Here is a 26,943-nt window from a genome sequence, read left to right as displayed (position 1 = left end):
CTCTTCCTGGAATCTGCCCAGTGGTCCCGGGAGCGGGGCCTTCACAAGTGCCTGTGTTTTGAACCCCTCTCAAAGGTCCACGCTATGCTGAGCTTCCTGTGTGAGGAGGAGCAGAAAATCTCCAGACAAAACTTCAGGAAAGCAGAAACAAGTTTATCTGCTTGAGAACCCATCTGAAATTCATCTCTGTCTCAAGCCCCCATTTCATCCCGTGGAAGAAACTTTACCTTAGATCACTGGGGTAAAGTCAGTTCATTCAGGGTTTTCTCAATTTGGGGGCACCCCCTGCCTCTGCCAAGCTCCCCTTTTTGCAGCAAAGTTCTGTAGCCTGAATGATGTGGTGAAAATATGAATGAGGCAACTCAGTTCTCCCAATCAAACAACCCAGGACCCAGCTGCTACTGTTACCATTGTATGGTATTTTTAAAGTTTTTTTTTCTAAGCATAAATGTACAAATACTCGATACCCTTTCATTATCTACCTTCACAGGTGAAGCCGGTGGCAAATATTGCATGTCAATAACTTATCTTTTGCAGAGTCATTTTAAATGGCTGCCTAGTTGTCTGTTCTCAAAAGGACTACAATTTCTTTTAAGTAATCTCCTATTGTTGGGCATTTAGGTTGGTTCCTAATTTTTGGCCATGATAAACAACTCCATAATGAGCATCCTTGCAACTAAATCTGTGCAGACTTTCATGATTTTTCCCTTAGGACACATTTCTTAAATATAGAATTCCTGGACCCAAACTCTGAGTCTTCTGCTAAAATGTTTGAGAAGGGTGAAGGTGGCTCCCTACAGGGATGGGCTCGCCATACGAAGAGAAAAAAATGCTTCTGATATTCCTGATTGACTTCGCTCTTCAGCTCCTTTTCCTGAAATGCACAGTGAAAGTAGGAGTTGTGGAGGCTGCACAGAGGACAGATTTCGACTCCAGAGCCACAGCCGGTCATCAGTGGGACAGCCGGCTTGGTGGGGAGCGACCTCCCATACCCCGGAGAGGTGGAGTGAAATAAAAATGAGAACAACCGCCCCCACCAGGCCCAGCTGTGTGCCAAGTCCCTGGCTGGCATCATCTCATTGGAGCTTTTCAACAACCCCCTGAAGAAAGTAATCATCACTCCCATTTTACAGTTGAGGAACCTGAGGCTCAGCATTTCGTGCAATCACCTAAGGGCATACTTCCAGGGAGATGTAGGGCCTCGGCTCACACGCAGACCCTCCTGACTGCAGATTCGGCACTGCGCTGGGCTAGTTTATTTCATCCTTATCGAACTCCACCAGAGGTAATATGACCCCAGTGGCACAGAGGAGACAGAAGAAGACCCCACTGGCCAGCGGCAGAGCTCTGCTGTGTTCAAGGTTGTCAGTGTTTACTGCCCCCAGGGAAGGAAAAAGGGCAGGAGGGAGGAAGCAGGTGGCCAGCTCTTTCCCATAGATGAATTCATCGCTGCAATTGCTAAAGGTGAGGACAAAGCAAAAGCTGCTCCCCTGGCTCGGTGCCCTCTGGCAGGGCTGCAGGTCAAGGGAGCTCAACAGGGCCCATGACCTGCGGTCTTACAGCCAAAACCGTGCACTCTGGAAGGTGCATGCTGTTGGCATCCAGAGGGCCGAGTGAGCAGCCCGGGGGTGTCCAGGTTAGGGTGGGTCCCCAGGGAGAGGGAGAGAAGAGAAAGAGCCCTGTAACTCCTGACTCCCAAGTGTGCCCCGGCCCCACCTAGCCACCCCGCCTGCCTACCTGTCAGTGCCCCCTAAGTGACTCGACTGGGAATAAGGGCAGGTTTGTTGTCCTGGTTCAACATTTGCTGTGTAACTATTGTTTTCTGGTCTTTAACCCAGACTGCAACACAGCTTCCTGGAGGTCAGGGGACAGCTCTTACACTGGACTCCAGTAGAGGACGTCAGTCACAGTGTTGGTTTTGGAGTCATGTGGTCCAGTGGTAGACCAGGAATCAGGAGACTCTGGGCTTTCCATCTCACTCCAACCGTATTTTCAAGTGATGAGCCTCTTGCCTTCTGTGAGCTTCCTGCAAGTGGGCTTAGCTTACATACTTTGCATCATCTGAAGGCACGACAAGAGAACATTGAAGAAAGAAGTCATAGGATCCTGTTTATTGTAGACAGGGGTCCGCGCACAAAAATCAGGATTTGGAGACAGAGGGAGCACTCAGGAGGCATGGTTTGGGGAAACTGAGTCAGGAGTTAATGACATATATTGAATCTTTTTGGTCTCCTGAAAACTCTTATGCTGTGTATGTAAGTCACCTCCTCTAGGCTGTCCCCCAGGCTTGCAGGGCCTGCTGGCAAATGGTCCTATGTGAGACTGCTTGCCAGGTGGCTGATGCTGTGCAGGAGGGGAGGGAATTTGGAGATGGCCAGTGTCTTTGCCTGCCGAGGGAGTGGAGACTACTGAAAGCCCGTAATAGGACAGTGGGGCACAAGGCATGCATTTTAACAAAGTTTATCCTGGTGGCCTCTTTCAGGGGTCCAAGGAGCTGCCCAAAGGCCCCCAAGGGGCGGGGAAATGGAGACCAGGTGGCTTGCACTTTGGACTCCCTCCCCAGCTTCAGGTGGGCTGCCTTGGGCTCTGTCTCCTTTAGACATGGGACTCTGAGTCAAGTACATGTCAAGAACGTGTTCCGCAGTGAAAAGGAGAAACAAGTTTGAACGCCACTGATTTAAACTAATACAGCAGATAGCATTTAATTCCAGTAAGTGGTTTTTCCCCTTCGGTGGTTTTGATATTCTAACAAGCCAACGTGTCTGGAGCTAAGACTCTCAGCTCCTTAATGGGGAAGGAAATCCTGGCAATTTCTCAGCCCCGCTGGACGCTCCTAGCTTGACCTCAGTTTCCTCACCTGTAAAATTGGGGTGATCTCAGCTTCACCTTCCATATGAAGCCATTGTAAGGAGCAGAGGAAGTGAGGAAAAGAGGCAAGTTTTCCAGTTGAGGAGACTGGAGGGGTGGAGTGTGACATAAGAACAAGCCTGCCCGCTGGGGTGTGGTAGGGGTGAAGCCAATTTCACAGCCTGGGCCCAAGAAAGAAACTACAACTTGAAGATAATAGTATTTACACAGATTGAATCTGTGATATAAAGTTTATGGTTCGTTTGGACTGTTCTGGAATATCCAATAAACACTGGGAGTAGAGGAGAGCAGGTGAGGGTTCAAGGCAGAGCTGGGGACCAAACCACCCACCTCTCTTCTCGGGCAGCCCATGGTGTTGGCATGATGTCCGGGATACAGAAGGCGCTCAATTAATGCTTGCTCAACCCAGATCCTGTCCCCTTTTCCTTCTCACTTGTCTTCCTCTGCTCCCCCGCGGGGATGACAGTTGAGAAAACTGTTGCTTTGAAGAGTTAAAAGGCAAAATCCTATGAAACTGTCCACAATGTAATTTTTGTGGAAGCCTGAGACCCCTCCAGATCCAAACTGTCAAAAAGCATGCATTAAACCCTCCCAGTCCTGCCACATAAGCCTCACCATCTAAAGGTTTGTAGAATTGTTAAAGGATGCCAACTAGTGGCTTCAGCAAATTCAGAAAACCCCAACCATGGTTCCCTGCCTCATTCCTCCCCATCTGCTCCCTCCTTCTCCCTGGGACCAGGCAATGCACCCCCTCTTCAAGTGTGATTCTGAACGTCCCCACCTTCTTGGGGAGGGGGCAGGATTTAAATCACAAGATATTTAATCAGAGTTCTCTCCTCTTGGTAGCTCAAATAAGAAAAACCAAGCAAAGCAAATCCATCTTTTCTATAAAACTTCATTTTGTAATTTTTTTCCAAGAAGTAGTAAGGGGGAAATATTGCAATTATGTAAAGGTAAGGAACAATGGTGTATAAAAATAATTTAAGCACAATATTAATAACAAAGCAACTTTTTTTCAAGGAAAACTAGTAGGTCATCTTGCCCAAGATTTTTCCAAAGGTATTAAATATATTTTCAATAACAGTACATACAAATACACATACACAAATATACCACACAGACACATGTGCACATACATGCACACACACACACACACACACACACACACACACACATATATATATACAGCTCAAGTATTTTTTTGGTGTGCATTCTAGCTAATCCACATAGCTAAAGTGAAAAAACACTGAAAAGATCAATGCCTGAGTAACCTTAAATTTGAACAAACTATGCATTGGATGTGAATTTTTGGAGGCATGCTAAGATTTCCCTTCTCAATTTCATTAGCTACTACCCAGTGTTCTGTGGTTCTTATCCTTAAAAAAATCAAAGTGTGCCTTTCAGATCTGCTCACGGTGTGGTGATGATTATTATGGTGGCGTCAATTTGGGAACACTTGCCCTCTCTTGCTCCTACTGCACCTTATGGATGGGAAAGGGAATGATTTTAAAGGTAAAGCACTCAGGCCCTGATTACATCTGGCTTATTCTTTGCTTCAAGGCAAGGATCTCTCTCTCGATTTCACAGGGGAGGTCGGCATTGACTTGATCCTCCAGATACTTCTCGATGTCTTCCACCTCCTTCTCCCAGAATTCCTTGGAGATGCTGAAAAGCTCCATCATGTTGATGTGCCCCAGGCCTTTCAGGTTCAGGGCATCCTCCTTGGGGATGTAGCCTATGGGCGTGAGCTTGGTGCTGGCTTTTCCATCGATCCGGTTGAACATCCACTCCAGCACCCTGGAGTTCTCTCCAAAGCCTGGCCAGAGGAATTTGCCTTCCTTGTCCTTCCGGAACCAGTTGACATGGAAGATCTTGGGCAGTTTGGCTGCTGGGTGCTGGGCCATGCTAAGCCAGTGGGCCAGGTATTTGCCGAAGTTGTAGCCAAAGAAGGGCCGCATGGCAAAGGGGTCATGCATGATGATTTTGCCTGTTAAACAGAGAGGGAGTTCATTAGTAAATGAGGCTCTCCTAGGCAAGACTGACGCCATTGATTGTTGACATTAGCATGCTTTGTTCTCCTCTCTCTCTTTCTCTCTCTCTCTCTCCCCACACACAGACACAGAAAAGGAGAGAGACATAAGAGTGACGAAGAGTGCTCTAATCCCACTTCTCTGTGGTTTCAGATCAGGACTTTGATTTACCTTTATGTTCTGCAGCCGCTGTGGCCTCTGATCTCATGGCCGCCCCCACAAAGACTCCATGTTGCCAGCTGAGAGCTTCATAGACTAGAGGGACACCTTTAGCAGGAAAAAAAAAGAGAAATGTTCATCAGAGGCTTTGAAATTCAGACTCCACAACCAGTGGTGTTATTCACAACACGGAAAGACACGGCAAGACAATAACTTTGTAATCGAGCTAGTTTTGCGTTCACCAAGCTAAATTGCAGAAAACTGCTAACTCAAAGTTACATGACTGAGGCCACAAAGTAAAAAGTAAAATTTGATCAAGCTACAATAGATCAGGGATTCAGAAAGGTTCCAGGTGACCAGAAGGGTTGGTTCTACATTTGAACTTGCCAATTATTCTGGATCTTTGGGAAGGAAGCTCAAGAAAGGAAGCCCCTGGGCACCCTCTGACAAGGTCATGGAAAAGGAGAGATTTCACAGATGCCCTTCGGTACCCAGCACACCCATGTTCCCAGCCTAAATGAAGGAGAGCCTCACCAGCAGGTCTACGGCCTCCAAAGATAATGCCTTCAATGGGAACACCTTCCGGAGACTCCCAGGCAGCATCAATGATGGGGCACTGGCTGGCAGGGGTGCAGAACCTCGAGTTGGGGTGGGCACAAGGTTCCCCTATAAGACAGAGAAAGGCTCGTGAGTGCCTGGCTCAAACAGGCAGTCCCTGCAGCCCGGCACACCAAGGCCTCTGGCAGGGACACACCATCCTCTGAGCTCCACTCCTTATTCTTCCAGGACGTGATGGTGACACCTGAAGCTAGCGGCTCATCAATGCCTTCCCAGTAAACGCCCCCGTCGCTGGTCTCGGCCACATTGGTAAAGATTGTGTTCTTCTGGATGGTCTTGATGGCATTGGGGTTGGTCTTCACTGAAGTCCCAGGAGCGACACCGAAAAAGCCATTTTCTGGGTTGATGGCCCTTAAATGACCTGGAGAGTTTTAAACCAGAGAAGCAGTAGTGAGTGCCAGGCAAAGCAGAACATATACTCTTATATATTGCCGGACTAATTTCTATGCCAACTTCTCAAATCTTTTTTCCCTCCCTAGAATATGCATTTATCTCTTTTCATCCAAGCATCATATGCAACTTTGATACGTTTACGACTCTTGCTTCCTCCACAATTTTCCACCAATACCATTTAAACAAATGTATGTATGTAAACAAACAGCAACATATGGCCCAGTTTCAATCCAGATTGAATATTAAGTTGAAGAATTCTTACAGGATCCATATTTCTAAGGCTTGGCCAACTCTGGACTAACAGAGTTTAAAAATCCAAACACTGGACTGAGGAGAATGTGACATGTTTCGAAGGCCAACGATTCGCTTGAGTCCAATCGTTACCAAGAGTTGGGTCTAAAAGAGTCACCTTGTGCGTCAAACTTCATCCAGGCAATGTCATCCCCGACGCACTCAACCTTCCACCCGGGGAGGCTGGGGTTCATCATGGCCAGGTTGGTCTTCCCGCAGGCGCTGGGAAATGCGGCCGCCAGGTACTTCTTCTCACCCTCAGGGTTGGTTATACCCAGAATCTGTTGGGGACAAGATTCTTTATTGTGATCTTTGTTTCCTTCTCCCCGAGGTTGGTACTTCAGCCCAGAGGTTGGAATGTAGGCCCTCAAGATCTATTTCTTCAGGTATCAGTGCAAACAAACACTCCCAGAATCATGAAGTCCAAAGGATCTCTATGGTCCCCTGGTGTTTGGGGGCCTTCAAAAGCGATGTATATGTGTAAACTAATCATTACTGGTGGGGTTTCCCGATCTGTCCGGGAACCTGCACGCTCAGAGAGGTGTGCTGACGGGTGGGAACTGTAATGCTGTTTGTTTCTGCCACCCCCCAGGCCTCTCATCTGCACATCAGGGCTTCCTGCAGGCTCACCAGCATGTGCTCTGCCAGCCACCCTTCCTCCTTGGCCAGCCGGCTGGCCATCCTGAGAGCAAAGCACTTCTTCCCGAGCAGCGAGTTCCCGCCGTACCCACTGCCAAAGGAGATGATCTCTCTGCGGTCAGGCAGGTGGGCGATGAGCGTCAGCTCCGGGTTGCAGGGCCAGTTGTTGACCAAAGGCTCTGTGAACAAGGACCCCTCCCAAGTCAGTGCGCCAGGGCCCTGCTTGGGGGTCCCCGAGGCACTCACTGGGGTTTGCGTTCAGCTTTCTTTTTTATTTTGACTTTTGATTCTGAAATAATACACTTACTTTGTAAAGGCAGAGGGCACCCCACAGAATGGAGGCATTTGACAAACTCCCCATCGCCCACTGCTTCCAGGACGGGCGTGCCCATCCGCGTCATGATCCGCATGCTGGCCACCACGTAGGGTGAATCCGTCAGCTCGATGCCGATCTTTGACAGAGGCGAGCCCAGCGGCCCCATGCTGAATGGGATGACGTACATGGTGCGACCTACAGGGTGCGATGGGTGGGCACTGGTGAGAAATGACCTTGGACTTCGAACACGACCAGCATTTTTTTCCCAGGTAGACCCATTTTCACGGTGTTCCACTAACACCACCACACCCTGCTGGTCACCAGCCCCCTGGGTTAGAAGAGGCCACTGGAAAGTGAACAGCCTGCTGAAATTAAAGAGTTTTCATAAATGTGCAATTGGGTCCCACCAAGCTATTTAAAACCCATATGCATGGAACTAGTTTTCACGTTTGTATAAGACAGTCTGTAAAAGCAGAAGAGGGATGTGCATTTTCAATACATTGCCAACTTCATGTATGGAACTGAAAGACATCTGAGGTGGTGGGAGCTTCCATTATTGTTTGAATTACCATTAGGATAGATGTAAATAAGAAAAGGCTCTCTGCTGTTTTACCCAATCAAATCAATGTTCCGCTCACCTTTCATGCACCCTGGGAACCTGGCATTGAACGCTTTCTCAAAATCCTCCTCTGACATCCAGCGACCGAGCTGGCTGAGGCCTGTTTTGGGGATGGGCACTGTGTCTCTTTGCTCTTGGGTGACGATAACCGTCTTGCTTTCGATCCTGGCCACATCCCTGGGGTCAGTGAGAGCCAACCAGCTGCAAAAATCACAGGCTTCCTTTCAGCCAAGCACCACGGGCAGCGAACCATCTCCTTCAGTACCGTGGCTTTCCATGCCTAGCAGAGTGCTGAGCACGCTAACAACAGTCCATCAGTGTGAACACACAGACCATCTAAGACATGGCCAGGTGGACATTTACTCCACTAGGACCTGGTCTGTAGGAGAGGGGCTGCCTTTTTTTTAATCAGGAATCTAGTTGGCAGAGCTTTTGTGCACACACCTCATTTAAAGCTTGGGCTGGCCCACTAATGTCACAAAATTCAAGTCTGTATGGTTCTGACCATTGCATTCATCTTCTCAAGAGTCTGAAACTACCCGAAGGCCTTCATTCACCTTTCTCCACCAACTCCCAGGAGACGCAGGGGAGCCCTGCCTGCAGGGTGCTGGGACAGGCAGCGGGGGCCGAGCTTACCAGTTGTCATACTTCTTCAGCCGCCTGAGGATGCCCTCTTCCTCCATCTGGCCCAGAAGCCGCCCATTCTCCTCCTCAGAGCCGTCACAGATGTGGATGTGATCAGGCTGACACAGCTCAGCGTTATTCTCGAGAAACTCCCTCACTGCCTGGGGTAGGCTGTCCAGGCTTCCCTGGACAACTTTGGCCGAGAGGTTCAGGCCGTTTTGCAGCTGAGGAGGCATTTCTGCAGAGTGCTGCTAAGGGGCACGAATGTGAGGTCACCTGAAATAGAAAACGCAAGCGTCCTGAACAAAAACAACAACAGACACCTTCAAACACATTCGACGGCCTTTTGCCAGGGCTGTGCATTGCCAAATAGTTATTGCTCTCAGGAAAAAAATGAGTTCATCTTTGTAATTTTTCAAAATGTAAATGCAAAGCTCTACTTACCTTTCTTCTCTTTGGATGATCTCGAAGGGAGATCCACAGGTTTCTTTCCGGGCTCTTCCCGCCAGCAAGTTTGTGTTCCCAGTGGGAAGGCCGTGCTTGGTGGCAGAACCTCCCAGCTTTAAATACTGTGGAAAAGAATAGCCCTGCCCCTCAGCTGCACCCAGGGAGGCTCGCCACTGACGTCAGGGGGCAGGTCTCTGGATCACGGCCAGGGTCAGTTATGCTTTGGGCCAACTCACTGCAACACGCCCCAGGGAGATAATCATTGAACAGATAGTTGTTAATGAATGCTGGGAGACTTCGAGCCCTCAACCAACCATAGTGAGTTTTGACACAACTTCCAACTGACTAAACCTTGACCCATTTTACTGCTGTTGCAAAACACAACACCCTTTTCTTAACAGGCAGGTGGGTCAAGGACAAGGTTGGCCGGGGCACCTGCTAGCAGCACATTTTGTGTACCAAGAGCTGCTGGTTGGCAAAACACCACAGCTATAAGATGTCACCCCATAGTCAAAGGTCACAGTCAAAGTTCATGGGAAGGATGCACCCTAACTTGGGCAAATATGTGGCTTATTGGCAAAGATTGGAAATGCCTAACCTAACTGGGGGCTAATCACTGTATTGATTGTCTGCTCTGTGCCGCCCCCGCCCCCTGCCCCGATGTAAACTCCATGAGGGCAGGGATTTCTCCCTATTTTGTTCATTTTTCTCTCTGTAGTGCTTGGCATAGAGTAGGCACAGGATGCACACATGCTGAGCACTGTTCTAAGAGCTTGGCATCATTACTACCCTCTGAGGTGGAGGCTATGAACAACCCATGTACAGATAGGGAAACTGAGGCAGAGATTGTGTAGCCACTCACAGCCGGCTGGTGGGTTGCAGAGTGAGGATCTGAACATGAGCAAGTTGGGCCCTGGAGCACCACGTCTCTCCCTGTGAGGTACCGCCACCTTTCCAGAACCTTCCCTGTGTCCTCCAGGGAGTTCTGGGCTGAGTGCAGTTACTCCTGCAGTCCACTGGCCACTGTTCTCTTCCCTGGCAAGTCTTAGAGTTTAGGGAGTGGAGGGGGCTTGGCAGTTTTGCTAGATTATATGCTTAAGCAATGAAACCTTTATAACAGTTGTAAAGAATTTGCTTTGCAAGCCATCAGACCTTCAGTCAAATTTAATGAGCTATGGAAGCTGCTTGCTGGAGTTTGGAGAACACAGGGTGAAATGTCAAAAGAACGGGGCTAGGTCTCAACCCCCCACAGCCAGCCCACACTTCCATGGAAGCCTCTCTACCTAAGATGAGGTCAGGTGGGGACTTGGCCCATCTCCCCGCTGGGGTGTGGGATGATCCCTGAGATAATCCCAGGACTGGGCTTAGAAAGAGCTGCTGTGGCAAATACAAGTCACTGTGAATGGCAGCCTCCGACCAAACTCACTTAGAGAACCCTCCTGGGGGCTTGGGTCACACTGTGTTGGGCGTGGGTCACACATCATCAAGTTCCACCAAAATTATCAACCCATTGCTATGTTTCCTGTATTCAGATTTTATTCAGCCAGTTGTGTCTTTCAGGATAAATATGATATGAGGTGCTTTTTGTTTCATTTGAAGTTATTCCCCGTTTAGGTCACTGGCATTTGTTATTAGTGGTGCTGTCATCCATACATAAGATCGTGTTGTGTCTAAACCCAACAGTGACGTGATGCTCAGTAGCCGAGGCCACTTCGTTAGCATCTGACATCAGTGAATTAGCCATCCCGATGCATGACCACAATTCCGTGACACACACATCACTCCCGGCGAGACTCATCCCACCAAATTGGTAGAAAGTCCCATTTTGCTGATAAAACGGTAACAGGTTTGAGTACCTGAAAGAGCACATAGATTGAAAACAAAAAGGGAAAGCAGAACTCATTTGGAGTCCTAAATGCGACCCATCCATTCCAGGTGCTTATGTTCTGAGTCTTCTGGGAGAGAAACAGCTAGTTCAAGTAAAACGTCAGAGCAGTGAGTCACCAACGACCTTCATCCGATCCTTTCATTACCTGCATTTACAGCGTGGAAGGACGGTAATGATTCCCCCGCAACTGTCCCTTGTCAAAATGTTAAAAAGCAAACATTGGTTTACAGACTTGCCTCAAAGGACAGAGTTCTCTGGAAGAAGAATCATGATAAAGTAGAGGGGTTTTGAGGACACACAGGCAAAAGTATGGGTACAGTTGCCTTAGGTCTTGGCAGATGATGCCCTCGGGCCCCCATTTTTCCTGTCCTTAGAGACTCCCTGCCCCAGTGGGGACTCATTGACAACAATTTCAAGGGGCTGGCCGGAAGCATGGGTCTTCCTCATCTGACTGTCAGCTTATTTGTAAGTAAGCCTCAAAACTAACTACTGTCTGTTGGTTTCAACAGGGACCCGAAGAAGCAGCCAAACAGCCACCCTGCTGGTGGGATCCCTGAGGACCCCCAGTTAACCCGCCGAGTGGACTTTGCAGTGTGTGCTCAGTGGGTGGGGCATGGAGGTGGCTCACGCTGCCTGTGAGTTGCGTTAGTTGTTTCTGGGACGGATGCCATAGAGACCTCCTAGCTTTTGGGGAGCTCCTTAGGCTCAGATTTTCTTAGGTCCAAGGCTGCTCTTCTTTTGAAAAATGTATAAAAAGTTGAGCCCAGATACAAAATTGGGGAAAGAAGGAGAAAGAAAGATCGGACACTAAAATAGTTTCAAACTAAAAGGGACTTCCTCCCTGCACCTTCCTGGGGCCACTCCATGTTTTGCAGTTACTCAGGGATATCGATTGCTTTTTCCCTGCTTTGTGACCACACCAGCTATATCCTGATACGAGATAATTAGACGGATTTAAAAAGGTAAAGAGAAGTTTTGCATCCAATTTGCTGCAATCTCATATTCTCTAGGAAGCCTCAGCTCAAACGTTTATTAAATGCTTGCTATGTCTCTAGCACCGGGCATAATAATCTTCATAATACTGGGCTTTCTCTGCATGCCAGAAATGGGATGCATTCCATGATTTTCTCCGATGTAGGTACCTTTGTTATCTTTCCCATTTTATAGATGAGGAAACTGAGGGTCTCAACCCAGCTGGGTATAGACGAGGGTCGAGAAAGGAATCATATTCATTCCTTCAACAGTGAATGAGCAGCTACTATTGCCAGTTCTCTAGATGTGTCCTCAAACTGAGAGTCCTTTTCCTGTCTATACTCCCAGCACATAGTCATCAAGCACTTGCTGAGCACCTACTTCATACTGATCCTAGGGTCCACTTCATAGTCTCAAGAGCATGCCTCACTCTTGGAAGGGGGCTCTTCTCTTGGAGTTTCATGCTCTGGGGTCACTGTCTTGAAATTCATAGTGATCTTCTAAGTTTGTGTCACTTCTACATTTGAAGGGATGATGGGGCACGCGGCGTGGCTCTTGTACAGTTCTGCCTCCCTCAGCCTTTCTGCTTCTAAGGATGGAGCCTCAGCTGCCCGCTCCCCTGTCTCTTCCTGCTAGGTGACCACTGCTGCCCTCCACCCCGACTAGGGTCTGAGCACAAGGGCAGGGAAGTCAGGTCAGAGTTGTGCGCCCATGAGGGTCTGCACTCATTCCCATGAGCATCCCCTGCCCAAGGGAGCGCAACATCAAACAGCAAATGCAAAACATGCCACAACAGATAGAGAGACCATGGGAGAAAGGAACACAGGTTTTTTTTTTTTTTGTCCTTTTTGAACAAGGGGCCCTGTGTATTTTGCACGTGGTCCCACAAGTTATGGAGCTATCTTGCCTAAGAAACAATTTCCTCAAAGACTTAAGATGGAGTTGGGGAGACCCCCACCCTGATGTTAGAGTATTTGGTTTATCATCAGACCTACATGATGGTCCAATTAAAGAAGTTGTACATGGCCAAGTGCCACATAGACAGTTCCAGTGGGAGAGCCAGGGCCACTGTCTGCTATCTAAAATGTAATCAAGACATTGGTACAGTGCTTTGCAGTTAGTGAGAACGTTCCTCGAACTGCTCATACAAGGCCCCTGCAGGAGGGGGCCAGACAGTCATGGCAGACCCAAGGAAGCAAGGGGAGTTCCAAACACAAGTCCTCTGGGTCCCCCAGGCCAGGGTGCGCCTGTCCACCACACTTAGTCTACTGAGCATGTGTTGGGGAAGAAGTGGTCAGTGACAGGGCCACCTCTCAGGTGTCATTTTGCACCTGTGATGGACTGTAGCCCAATTTCTCCCAGCAGCCTACCATGAAGGGTTCTGGAAGAGTGGGTGAACTGGACTTTGACGAGCCTGTAGAATGCCATGCAGGATGGAGCAGTGACAAAGACAGCAGAAAACACGCGCAGGGACAGCCAAGATGCAGCAGGTGTGACCGGGGAGGTGGGTGTGGGGAATGGCTGCATTCCAGATGAACAACAGAAAACAAAGCCATGACTTTGGCGGGGTCTCACAGTGGAGGATTCAGAGGACAGTCTGATTGCAACACATGTTGGTGTTTCTTGGTTACCTGGAGGCCAATAAAAGAACAGAAATTCTGGGCCGGGTGCGGAGGCTCACGTCTGTAATCCCAGGACTATGGGAGGCTGAGGCAGGCGGATCACCTGAGGTCAGGAATTTGAGACCAGCCTGACCAACACGGAGAAACCCCATCTCTACTAAAAATACAAACAATTAGCCTGGCATGGTGGCGCATGCCTGTAATCCCAGCTATTCAGGAGGCTGAGGCAGGAGAATCACTGGAACCCGGGAGGCAGAGGTTGTGGTGAGCCGAGATCTCACCACTGCATTCCAGCCTGGGTGACAGAGTGAGACTCCATCTCAAAAAAAAAAAACAAACACACACTCTCAACAGCAGTGCTTGGAGGTCATGTAAAGTCAAGGTCCGTGTTTTCCCAACTGGGCTCTAAGGGATTTAGGGGGATTCCACTCACCCCTCACAGAGGAGAGAGAAAGGCTGTAGGAGACGGGCTCTAAGCCCTCCTCACCCATGGCATCTCTGATTTGACCTGTTGTACATTTCCGGCTTCCATATTGGATGTTTGTGGTATAAGGAATTTCACAGCTGGAACATGTTGAAAATCCACACAGCACAACCAAGTTGTGCTGAAGAGTTGAGAACCAGAGACGGCAAAGACACCATTTTCCCAAGCTAAGGCTCTCACACACACAGCCACAACCTCCTCACTTCACCCCAGCCACCAACGGCAGTGACGGGAACACCGAAGGGATGACCACAAAAATGCCCCTTGGTTCAGGAATCTGAATTTGTAGGAAAGCCTGACTCTTATCTGGCAAAGAAAAAAAGGGACAGTGGTTTTCCTGAAGGTGACGAGAAACACACAGTGTAAATCCCATGTCCTGGGACGAAAGGTATTTACGCAAATCTGCCTGGGTCTCTGTTGCCAGGGATACTACTCACTGGGCACCCGACTGGCCCCATCATGAAGCTTCTGACAGCAGGAAAACACCAGTCAGCCCTGTAACGATCAGCCACAAAGTCATCCACCAGGGCGATTCAGGTCATCCACCCCACCTCAATTGTGTTTGTTAGGGACAAATATTTAGAAGTTTCATGTTTGTGGGATTATCTCAATGTCTTTGCAGTCTGGAGGGTGTCTTTACAGAGCTGAATGAGTCAAGTGCCTATTCTGATGCCATAGAATCATATAATTAAAAAGGTCCTTAAAAGATGACGTCACTCCAGCTCAATGGGTTGGGGGATCTCCTCTGGGAGAAATGTTTTGGATCTAGACAGAGGGGCATTACACAACATTGTCAATGTAGTAAATGCCACTAAATTTGCACCTGAAAATGGTTAATTTTTTGTTGTGTGAATTTCATCTCAATTTTTAAAAAAGATTATATCGTTCAGTCTTTTATTTTGAAGATGTGGGAACAAGTAGTGGGAGGATGGTATCCAAAGCCCACTCAGGGTGCAGGCAGGTCCCTAACACACCGATCACCCTGCCCAGACTTCAACCTAATCATTCCCGCTTCGCTACATGGCCTGTGCTGTCGTAAGGCAGTGAGCTCAGGGCTGAATGTACCCAGCAGAGAAAATTCATATCCTCAAAAACTCTCTCCCCAGAAGTTTTGTGATTTTGTTTGTTCATGTATTTTTTCCCACAATAAGGAAATAAAAATGTATCTAGACTTACACCACTTTGCTTGGTGCCTGTTATTAAAGCATGATTCTTGCTGCAAACATGTGCCCAGAAGACATGTTAAATATCCAGGTGTTAGAACCTTTGGGAGGGCTGGGTGTCTCCTGTTTCAATCACCACTGACCCACAGCAAAGTGACTGTAAAAGCTGGCGTATTTTCTTTGGAGCTTTCTCTGTCAGGTTTATGGGGAGGCCTAATGGCGCCCCAGCCATGAGAAACCATGCACGTGCCACAGCCCAACATTGCACGCCACCTCCATCCCAGGAAGGATCTCGCCCTTCAGAGAGCGATGTCACCCCCCTGTGATGCTGACCATTCACTTACATGAAGGCTGCAGCCCAGGGCAATAATAGGAGAATCACCCTCAGAAACAGGACAAGCAGATTCTAGAGCTACTCTCCTGTGTCTGGCACTAGTCTTCTGGGGACTTCTTAGAATGTGAGATAGAAGCATCCCTTGTCGTTTAAGCTGCGTGGAGTTGGGTGACCTTGTTGTTTGCAGCTAAAAGCATCCTAATGAAGACAAGATCCCATAGTCAGTTTACACGGAACAAGACTCAGGAGACCTGGGTTGGTTCCAGTCCCACCTCCCCCAGAAACCTGCCCAGGCCTCATTCTCCTCACTTGGGCAGTGCAGACTTGGATGAGATACGCTCTAAGGTCATTGCCACTGGGGAAGTCCTGTCCCTTTATCACACTGTACGCATTCCCTGCCACAGATCCTGAAGCCCATGGTGGGTTTGATGTCTGCCTTACTCCCCTCTCACCTACGCTGGATGACTGGTGGCCCTGTGTCTGCTAAGCAGCCCTTCTTGTTGGAAGCTCAGGAGGTCTTTGCTCCTATGCAGCATGCGCATATGAAAATGGGCTACTGAAGAAAGCTGGCGGGTAATTTAAGTCCACAGCTACCTTAGGTGGAAAAGGATGACTAAGGAGGATAAGACGAAATGCAGTGTAAAACTCAGGCTTGCCCCCATTTTTTATAGGCCTGCCTTAGTTCTCTCCTTCAGTTTGCATGTCATAGAGCATATCCAGATTTTTATTAAAATCTTTCCCCATTCCTATTTTTTCCCAACCTTTGTTTGCTTATGACTTTTAGAGTTGAGGGCACTAGGTGGCTACATGTAGTCTTTTAAAATGTGTGCACCATCTGTGTTAGACTCCAGAAGGACCGACGGAAGATCTGGCACACAAACAGATGGCTCCATCATGACATTGCTGGGAACGAGGTGTCCTTTGGGCAGCTCACTAGGCTTTGGTTTCAGTTTCCTCCTCCCTAAAACGGACATGGCCCTGGGGATCCACAGTGCCCTTGATTTCAAGTATTACAGAGTAAGCAAGTCCATTCTCTGAGTGAGAACAAATTTGCCACTGAATACTATTTCAAACACACTCACGGAGAAAAGACAGCAGCACCAGGCAAGGCATGAGCAGGAAGAACTAATTGCATAGTTACCACAAAAACAATCCAATGCGCTTATTTTGCAGTGAGAAAATGGATCCACTTTGCAGTGCAGTTAACTCTATTGGAAATAAAGATAATTGCTTGAGAACTGAACGCTACCCTTCCCCGGAGCTCCCTGGTAACTATGCAAATTGTTCCCCTTGCCTGTAATAGTGCAGCGCGGAACAAAAATGTCTTTTCTGATCCACGCTGGGGACAATTCCAAAAATTCAGTAAATCTGAGTCTCCCTGTCAGCTCCTCTACCAAGGAGGGCAGAATTCACATGTGTCAAGGCTTGGGCGATTGGACACATCACCCAGGGTGGGGGTCCGGCCTCAGCATGTCTTGTCAGGGTCACGGGCCTCTATCTTAGCTATAGAAACCTGAAATGTTTCCAAGTTGAAATATAGTGGAAATTGAGCACCCTCAGGACTGCTGTTCGTATAACCTGGTGCAGAAGTAAAGTCCATCCTCCTGCACACAGAAAACACGATTTGTCTGAAAAATGACCACAGAGTCTGATGAAAAAAGGTGCCAGTTGACAAGTGTCCTTCCCAAAACTAGCCTACATTGCTTTGAAGAAGCAACCTAGAAAGATCAATGGTAACGGGGAAAGAAATGTACATTTTGGTGTTTTCAATATTTAAAAAGCAAAATTGTGACGCAGATGAAAAATCTGCTATGGGATAACAGAATCACAAGCCAACACAGATAGGGAGGACTCATCTTCTCAATAAGTTGGTGGTGTTTCAAACAGGAACCTGGGAAGCAGGGTTCAGGGGCACCTGCACGTTCTCGTATAAGGTAAGGTCCGTAATTCTTTAACTTTCATTTCCATGGCTTTCCACCTTCCAATTTTCTGCCAAAAGCCGGCCTAGGTTATACAAGTTTTCTTTCCCTGGCTTGGCACAAGGAAGCAATGATGCAAGAGGCCTCTTTCCAAATCCCTCGCTGCCTATCGGGAGCTGACATGGCAGGGCCAGCAGGGTGAGGACATGGCTGTCTGTTGCAGGGGCTGGCCTCAGCTCCCAGGCCTTTGGAGCTCTCTCTTTAAGTACCAGAGTCAAGTGCTCATGAATTGGAAGGCAGTGGGGTCCCTGGGCTTTTGGACACTAACTTCTATACAGTCTAATCAACCTCACTGAGCAGTTGATCCCACTTGGCCAGTAACAGCATCAGAAGTAAGGATTGGGCCGAGTGTGGTGGCTCATGCCTGTAATGCCAACATTTTGATAGGCTGAGGTGGGAAGATCGTTTGAGTCCAGGAGTTCAAGACTAGCCTGGACAACACAGCAAGACCCCATCTCTATGTTAAAAAAAAATCGTTTTTTAGAAGAGGTACAGATTGGCTCAATATTTTTTATCTGTAGGGCCCATGGGGTGGTTTGGGGAGGCAATGCCATGTAGCGGCCAACAGTGTGGGTTCTGGAGGCAGGTGTTTCCTTTTACATCTTGACTGTGTAGCCCTAGGCCAAGGCATACCCTCTCTATGCTTCCTCAGTTTCCTCAACTGCAAAATGAGGATAATTATGGTACCTGCTTTATAGGGTAGTTACTTACAAGGATTAGATTTGGGAACCCAAATAAACACACTTAACATAGTGCCAGGCACATCTGAGCAGACACTCCTAAATTCTAGAAGGGGGAAATAAAAATCATAGTTCTTTTTGGGTGCAAATTTTTTTATTTATTTAACAATTGTCTCCTATGGAGTGCTAAGTATGGAGGGGACAAGACAGTCCAAGCTGAGCCGCCAACTTCTAGGAGTCTGCGTTCTCACTCCTCTTAGCATTCTCATTGCCCCAAACCACACCTGGCACATAGTAGGCGCTCAGCAAATGTCTGCTGCCCAGGCCCAGCCAGGAAGACCAGCTCCTCACCCGTGGGCTGCACAATGCTACGAATGACTGAGAACCACAAGAGTTGTATGGACAGTAAACACACCCACTCCCCAATACATCTCTAGACAGACAGTCACGGTGATAGCACCTTGGGTTTTTCTTTAACTTTTTCCGTATGCTTTCCTGTCGACTCCCCTTGTCTCTCATTTTTTTGAATCAGATTGATGTTATTATGTGTGTGGAATAAGTGGCACATTTTTCACTCCCGACGCCGCTGTGCTCCTTGCTTCTTCCCCTCCCCAGTCCCATGCCACCTGGACTTCCTCAAAGCCCCCCACCCCCACGGAGGCATTTTTCTGAACTGCACTGTTAAATTTTCTGGAAGTCCCACTGTGCATTCTCGTAAGTGTCAGCATCAAGAGTCGCAACACTTAGGCGAATTCAATAACATAGGTACGCTAAGTCACCCAAGTCGTTTTCCAAGTCCTCTGAGTTACAGTCGAAGCTCCCGTTAGCAGAACTCGGAAGCTCATGGTGAACACTGGTAAACACTTCTGGTGAGAGACCCGTCCTGACAGCTCTGATGAATGGCCAGATTCGTTTTCCACCTGGCCCGACTCATTCCAATCGCATGCTGCTGAAAACACCTTTTTCATTTGCCCTTTGATGAGTGCTGAGGCATGAACAAAAGTCCATTGCCTAGCTGGGTACCTAATTTTTATTAATAATATCTTCACTCTATCAATCATTGTTAACTAACGGGAACACTTGAAGAAATGAATTTAAGCCTGCCGAAAGGAAACACGGCAGCCGGTACACACCCTCCCAAGTGGATTCTGAGGCTCCGGCCACATCCCAAATGTGCAGAGCAAGTCAGGCTGGCTGGGCCCGATTTTCCCCAACAGAGGACAGCTGTTCCCTCAAAGACAAGGTGCTCTGTACAAGGGGGCTGTGTCAGCAAAGCAATTTCTTTTTTTTTTTTTTTTTTTTTTTTTGAGACAGAGTCTCGCTCTGTCACCCAGGCTGGAGTGCAGTGGCGCAATCTGGGCTCACTGCAAGCTCCACCTCCTGGGTTCACGCCATTCTCCTGCCTCAGCCTCCCAAGTAGCTGGGACTACAGGCGCCCACCACCACGCCCAGCTAATTTTTTGTATTTTTTAGTAGAGACGGGGTTTCACCGTGTTAGCCGGGATGGTCTCGATCTCCTGACCTCATGATTCACCAGCCTCGGCCTCCCAAAGTGCTGGGATTATAGGCGTGAGCCACCGCGCCTGGCCTAGCAATTTCTTAATTGCTTCCCGTACCCCACCTCATTCCCCAGAAGCCTGGGGTGGCTGAAGCCCACTCATGATGTGGAGGGCTGGCCCGAGTGTGAGAGTGTGCTACTCATTCAAGTCATCTCTCCGCATTTTAACCCAAAGATGGAAAGTAGTAAAAGAGGAAGACGTAGTAGAGGCTAAAGAGCTAAATGAATGACAGGCGCGGGAACAGCTGTAAGGGGGTCCCTGACACCCTTGTGTCCCTGAGTATCCATCCCCTAGACCTGCAACATCCATTCAACCTGAGACACTGCAAACCACAAAAAGCTCAGCATTTGTATCCCCAGGCCATGAACTCATCTTTCAGGGGCTCATGTTCGTTTCTATTCGGCCAAATTCAATGTCCAGGACACAAGTTTAAGGAGGTGCACAACCACCCCTGTACATTGAATGCTTCTTTAACCAAACGGAATGTGTGCAGCCACAAAACAGGCCGGTCTGGATTCAATGCACTGCCTTATGGTGGTAAATAAAATGTTCAGGTGCTTTGAGTCAAGTATGTCTTAAAAATACATGTATTTTTCTATACGTGTCAAACACTTCTGTGTTTAGACATTCCTGCAAGCATATTGAATGTGCGAAACCTACTTAAGCAGCCTTAATGCATTGTTTTTTCATTTCAGGTGAAACTCCCGAGTGTCCTTTATATTAAAATGGGTCTTCACAGCCTCCACTTGCAGAGAAAGAGAAGGAGAGGGAGAGAGAGAGAGAAATTAAATAATTGCATTCAGTAGGCGACCACATAAAAAGTAGCTTGTGTGAATTATTAATGATAAATTCTTTGGAAGAAAAACTTCTTGACTTTTTTTGTTGTACTTTTAACAATTGAATGCAATACTCATCAGATGGCTTCTTGTGAGCTGTCAAATTATTTAAATGAGAGCATATCTGACATTTCCAGAGGAATGTGCTGGGTGAGTACTGAAAAGACAGTGTTCCCTGTGCTGCTTTGATGGGCACTGTTCGGGCTTTTCAAAATAAAGGTTTTGAGCACTTTAATTTTGGAGTGACTTGCCATAGTTCAACACAGAGATTTAAAATGCTCTCAACTACTTTGGGAAAGAATAGAGAAAAAGTTTTGTGCTTCACGACAAACAGACGAACACTCCACAAGTGACATTTGAAAGGCACTGATGGTGGGTAATAACTGCTCAAAATACACTCAGGAAAGCGCAGCTCCCTCATTGTTCTTTATGTATCTAATTATTCCAGGTATTGTCATGTCAAAAAAAAGTTTTATGTGACATGTGTTTTTCCTTAACAAAAAAAAGTCTAAGTCAGAGATGAAATCTAACTCTCCCCGGGAAGCCAGGGCCTGCACGGGCCATCTTGGTGATGGGAGAAAGCTGATCATCTGTGGCTACAGACGCTTGCACTCTAACAAAAGCATTTAGCCACTGCAGGACTGTCCACTCCACTCCATTCTTCTTTCTGCAGTGCCGTGACCATTTGTTAACATGTATCTGAGTGCAGTTCGCAGGCCGGGCACCTTGCCAACAGCTTTGAGGGGTGAGACAGCCATGGGAAATCACATAGAACAACCAGAGGAATCCTGAACATTCCAGTGCATTGCTTTATTGACCTGTTCCGTCTGCTGATTCTCGCCTCTGTCTCAGACCGTGGTCCAGCCTTGGAAGCTAGAAGGATCTCCTCTGAACTTCACAATCGGCTTCCCCTTTGTGAGTTGAACTTGATCGCATCCTCGAGCCACCCTCATCCCCAGTTCAGGGCCTTTGCACCTGCTGTGCTTCTGCATGGAGCACCCTTCCTGGCCTGCACATGGACGGGCCTTCGTGTCATCCGAGTCTCAGCCTTTCCCAGCTCCTGCAACACATGCCCCTGTTATGTTTCCTTTCTGACAGTTACTATTTGACGTTGCCTTCTTCACTTGTCTAGGGGTTCAATCCCAGAATCTACGACTAACTAGAACATAATCTCCATGCTCGACAAAGACGTTGTCTGTCTTGGTCACAGCTCTGAAAACAGTCGCTAGACCAGAGTAGGTGCTGACTAATATTTGTCGAATGAGTGAATAATTTCAGTTTCTGTAACCAGCATGTTTGCTTGATTCTCTGGCCCTGAGCCCCTGGGATTGAGCTTTGGTTTCCAAAGGCCGTGCAGATCCTGGAGACCAGACGCTCTTGGAGCCAGCTCAACTCTGGTTTGAGCACAGATCAGCATGTCAGCTTTCTTGTCCTAGACATCGCTGTCTTGAGTTTGGTTAAGATGAGTGTACCTTTGAGAGCAATCTCCTCCCAGGATGTGAAAAGCTGGAGGTCAGTAAGTCTGGCACCTGGAAAGATCATGTAGACGTGAGCGTCTCCCCGATGCACTCGGGAGACCTTGGCCAAGGCTCCGCCTCTGTGCACTACTCTACCTTGTTTCAGCCTCTAAACACATCATTGAGAAGGTTCTGGGTTTTATTTGCATGGAGCACTTTACCTCTCTATTTTCCTGAGACATCCCAAGCCTCTTTCTGCAATTATTCTTTATTTAGAAAACAAAATAAAATAAACAAATGTGTCTTGCTAGATTTAAAAACAGCACTAAATTAGATTGATTACAAGTTAATCCAAGAGAGACAAATGGGCACTTCGAAGCCTGTGCACATGGCATCTTTAGAACTTGGCAGAACCTTACTTTCTCAACATGTTCTCAACCTGAGGCAGAACCCTCATCTCAACATGTTCTCAACCTGAGGCAGAACCCTCATCACCACCTGGCAAGGGGCTGCCTTTGGAAATATGCGGGAGTCTGGGGGGTTGCCACAGAGTTAGGGGAGTGCTACAGGTATGTGGTGGGTAGCAAATTCTTCACGTAGTGCAGAATGCTGGACAGGCCATGTCACAGTCCTGCCCTGCGGGGTGTCTCTGCACCTTTAGTCTCGGAGGAGGGCACTGAAGGTGAACCCTGCCCACAAGAGGTACTTTGCATCCTCCTGGCACATGGGATGACCTCCCTCGGGCAGGCAAACCTGCTCCAAGCTCCATCTCCTTTCAAGTGCAGTACCATGCGGTGAGTCACCTTAGACATCAAAGCATGAAGCAAGAGCACACTTTGTATTCGTGATTCAGTTATGTTTTTGAAATTAAACAATAATTTCCCTCATGCTCTGCTCGTTTACATAACCATGCCAGTAAAAACTCTTGTGAGTCATAGGAGAGAGTTCAGGGGGCTTAAGTTCATCTTTCATCATAAGATAGTCAGCCCCCATCCACCAAATGCCAGCCAAGCATCCCAAACACACACTGCTTTAATGAGACCCTTTTCTGGGCATTGTTAATTAATGTATTCATTTATTCATTAAACCTTTCAGGGCAATTTACCATGTGAAAAGAGAGACGATGGCAGAACTATAGGCTTGTTGCAAAAGGTCTACAGTGCAAGCCTGAATGAGCCAATTTAGAAGATGCTGAAAAGTTTTTCAATACTGAAAGTATAAAAATTAATTAAGAAAAGAAAAACAACATTTGTGGTAGTAAATCATAACATGCTAATATATAAGAAAGGCAATTACATATTCATCATTTTCAGTAAAATGGTTATTATCATAGTATGGTATTATAACAATGACACGGTTATTTTAAAATAATAGGAAATTTATCTTACCTTTTCTTGCATTAAGATATAATAAAATTATGCTCTGAAAACAAATGATGCCTTCTATTGTCCTTATGAAACATTAGCTAGGCCTGGACGGTACTCTACGAACTTTCTTTGTTTTGCTGAGTGTTTCTTTTAGTGAAAACCTGCTCAGGAAGTGCCCAGTCCATGGGCATTCCCTGAGGTCTTGCAGCAGGGAATACAGGAAGAGCAAAGCAGGACTCTGCATGGGGGTGCAAGAGGCCCGCACTCAGTGTGGTGGCTCTGAGGATGGCATCAATTTCAAAGGAAGCATTCCTTTCTTCATCTGGGTATGACATTTGAAACTAGAGAGAAGCTTCTGGAAGGACAGCGAATCCCTCCTCAACCTGCAGAGGCCACTGTGGCTGAGCATGGTTAGTGACCTCAAAATAGGCTCAAGAGCACATTTGCAGGAGGAACTCCCATCTCTCTAGATCCCACTCTTACCACAATCCCAGAGCTAAGCTGCTCCACGAACTTAAAGCTCATCGAAACTTCAAGTCCACCAGGGCTGGCAAGGCACTGTCAGCGTTTGAGTGTGGTGGAGTTCTCTGTGCAATGTGTTCCCACGACACACCGAGGGTCACATTTGTGCTTGGGCAATGCGGCATTTTAACTGAGAACCTGATAGATCCATTGCCAATGGAGGAGGGAAAAAAGGCAACCAAATGCCAAAGAAGACAAAATGTTCAGAGTGGCCACGCCGGTTTCCTTTTTGGTGTCAGGACAAAGGAAAGCAATGTCTTCCAACCCCAGATGGGCCCTGAAAACGCCTCCCTGTGGCTGTAAACCACACACCAGCCCTTGTGGGAGATGCACATTCACGGTGATGCAGTGGCTTCAGCAGGCAGCCTGGGCAGGCAGGTGGCAGAGAGGTCAGAAACAAGAGTCCTTGCTGCTCATGTGATCTTGAACAAGCTCCTGGCCTCAGTTTTCTCATCTGAACTAGAAGGATAAAACCAGCACCTATTGCATAGGGCCCTGGTGAGAATTCAATGGGAACACCCACATTGGCCCTGGGCCCTTAAGAATGTTAGCCATCTTCTTCCACTCTTTTCTTTCTGAACAGAAGAATCAAAGAGATCCAATAAGCCCCCTTGCATTCCCTCAGTCTTGCACTTCATTGCCACCTGCAAACGTTGGCAAGTCCTGGCCCTTCCCATGCCAGGTCAGAGCGAGCCACTCACAGGTCCCTACAAGCCATGATCACCTCATCCAGGAGCACCCATCTCAGACTGTCTGATCATGTTTCCAAATGAAAGTACACTTATAATTTGTCTGGCTTCTTAATTTCTCCTAAGACAAAGTGACAGACTCCTCTGCTCTCCCCCTCTGTGTTGGCTTTTATTATTCTCTCTTTATTTTTCCATCTCGCCCACTCCTTTCTGTTGCTCAGCCTCCCTGCTGCACTGCCATTGTCACTTCGGTATTAGCCCACTGTCTGCCTGGCAACCCACTATTATGCACTTATTTTATTACTTGGTTTCCTACCCCGATCTTGTGATTCATTTCTAACCTTTACTGACTGCAACATAACTCCTTTGCCATTCTTTCCTTCCTCCTTACCCCCCTCCTCAACCCTCTACTTTTCGATGTCAGTATCTGTTCACACCTAGTGTCCTCATAGCACAGAAAAAAAGACTTATCGCAGCTCCAAGTGGACAGCCTTGTTTTTCACTCAGAGCTATCAATGTAATCAAATGGAGTGCTGTACTGCGTGTTTTCCTGTTCCTTTGAATAGGAACCGGAGAGATAAACAGGAGTTAAGAAGGGAAATGAGGTGATAAATGGGTCCCAAGGGCGGATCCTGGACCCAAGACAAAAGTCAAGGCACTCCTCTTTTTAACCTAAACTTCATTGCCTGATTGCATAACCAAGCGATTATATAAATGTGGGTTAATGTTCACAATTCAGGCAGTCCATACACGGAGTTTCAGGGTACTTTTAGGATCGTACAGGACAGTTTAAGAATAATTAGGAACGTCCTGCATTAAGGATGTCCCACTCAAAGAAATCCCAATACAGTAAACATCCCAAGTTATAGAACAAAATAAGTTCTTTTCATGTAAATACTGGAAAGTAGATGTCAGAGTGGGGTTTTCTGGATAGATGCTGGGAAGAAAAATGACCAGAAGAGAATCTTGGAATCACAGGGTACTAAGAGCTGGAAAGGCAGCCGAGAATCTCCCCATTGAACTGCCTACTATTTAGACAAGGAAACTGAGGCCCTAGGAGGTTAGGAGACTTGCCCAAGAACTAGAGCCTGGTCTCTTGACTCCAACACTCAAACTCTTTCCAGCAGTCACATTTATTTATAAGCGTGAGGTTCAGATTGAGAATTTAGATAAAAATTCAAATCTGGCGGGGTCTGTTGCTGTCTGGCCCTATGAGCTCTCCAGTAGAGCCAGCGTATGTGAAAATGAATTAAAATTTCCTTTTAAAATTACTTATTTGCCAATTAAAAAATCAACAGATAAAACAGGACACAATTAAAATGGGGTGCCTGGAATTAAATGATGTGAGGCATCTATAAAAACTGTCATCATATGAACATTGTATATGTCAGAAATGTAGAATGTTCTGACATTTTGAGTAAGTTCAATAGAATGGAAGTGAGCTAACTAAACCTTCTTAATTCTGGATAACTCTAATCCATAGTGATTCTGACAGAGGCTGGGTGAAAGTTTACCTTTTAAGATCTTAAAGAAAGTCTTTGCTAAGCAAATTAACAGTGTCAATAGGATTTCGGGTGACTGTTGAAGCTACTTAAAACAATAAGTTGTTTTTAAACATGGTAAGCATGGCGGGAGTTATAAATGAGCATTTCTCAGTGGGTATTGTATATGGCCATAAAGAGAGTCATCAATACAGAGCTTACAAAACAGAGTTCTGAATCATTCTCATCTGTTTACTTACTGTTTCCCTAAAGATTTTTTTTTGTCATAGTTTCCTAGCCCCATTCTTGCTGGGTTTGAAAGTCATACAATATCTCTTTTTTAACTGGAAAATAATTTGAACTTTTACTCATGCAGGCCTTCTCAGACATTAGTCCAAATTACAAGGGGATGGGCTATTCTGGTCATGATACAGAGATCTGCAAACCACTCAGTTATATTGGTAAAGAAGTTAACATTTTCAATTGGATAGTAATGTAGATAAATACAGGCATAGGGAGAACAGGATCCTCAAAAAACTTAAGTTTAGACACATTACATTAACTTCCGTCCTTAAAAACTCTTACGGTAAATACCAAGAGGCCACGCATGGTGAGGTGCCTCTGCAATTTAGAATAAAGTTATCATCGGAAAGGAGAGAACAGGGGTAGGAGCCTACAGAATCTCAATGAATCCACTTGCAAGCGCTGCTGAAGGGAGCGTGTCATTATCCCCATTTTGCATAGGAACTTGAGGTCCAGGTTGGTTAATGCGTTCCCCCAAGGTTTTCATGCTAATAAATATCGTGAGCATTTGCACAAGGAAAAAGGCACGCTCTTGGAAGAAGTATTAAATAATACACTGCAGAGAAGTTCTGCCTTCAGAGAAGGGCTGAGTGGTGGCTTCCC

The 26,943-nt window shown here is 47.1% G+C and overlaps 1 protein-coding gene and 1 long non-coding RNA gene across 3 annotated transcripts, besides 1 other annotated feature; both read right to left on the bottom strand.

The window, feature by feature from the left end:
* Positions 1,018 to 1,518: an enhancer, noted in NCBI's record as "H3K4me1 hESC enhancer chr20:56143743-56144243 (GRCh37/hg19 assembly coordinates)". NCBI's record gives its function as "activates a minimal SCP1, AML or CMV promoter by ChIP-STARR-seq in primed H9 embryonic stem cells {active_cell/tissue: H9 hESC(primed)}" and the evidence as "EXISTENCE:reporter gene assay evidence [ECO:0000049][PMID:30033119]".
* PCK1 (phosphoenolpyruvate carboxykinase 1) lies at positions 2,084 to 9,095 on the bottom strand. Of its 2 annotated transcripts, NM_002591.4 has the most exons (10): positions 9,002 to 9,095; positions 8,570 to 8,833; positions 7,953 to 8,134; positions 7,306 to 7,509; positions 6,990 to 7,177; positions 6,478 to 6,640; positions 5,812 to 6,036; positions 5,592 to 5,723; positions 5,070 to 5,165; positions 2,084 to 4,855 (listed from the first exon to the last, which is right to left on the bottom strand). In NM_002591.4, the coding sequence occupies exons 2-10, from the start codon at positions 8,791 to 8,793 to the stop codon at positions 4,401 to 4,403; spliced, it is 1,869 nt and encodes a 622-aa protein (NP_002582.3). In that variant the 5' UTR covers positions 8,794 to 8,833; positions 9,002 to 9,095; the 3' UTR covers positions 2,084 to 4,400. The 2 variants fall into 2 exon arrangements, with proteins under 2 accessions (NP_002582.3, XP_024307656.1); XM_024451888.2 differs by lacking the exon at positions 7,953 to 8,134.
* On the bottom strand, positions 21,308 to 23,968 carry LOC124904941 (uncharacterized). The gene is made up of 2 exons (XR_007067674.1): positions 23,367 to 23,968; positions 21,308 to 22,050 (listed from the first exon to the last, which is right to left on the bottom strand). It is a non-coding gene; the product is annotated as an uncharacterized LOC124904941 (long non-coding RNA).
* Positions 23,969 to 26,943: the final 2,975 nt, after the last annotated feature.

This window comes from Homo sapiens, chromosome 20 (genome assembly GCF_000001405.40).
Source record: "Homo sapiens chromosome 20, GRCh38.p14 Primary Assembly".
NCBI lineage: Eukaryota > Metazoa > Chordata > Mammalia > Primates > Hominidae > Homo > Homo sapiens.
This window is presented reverse-complemented; position numbering and strand designations above follow the sequence as displayed.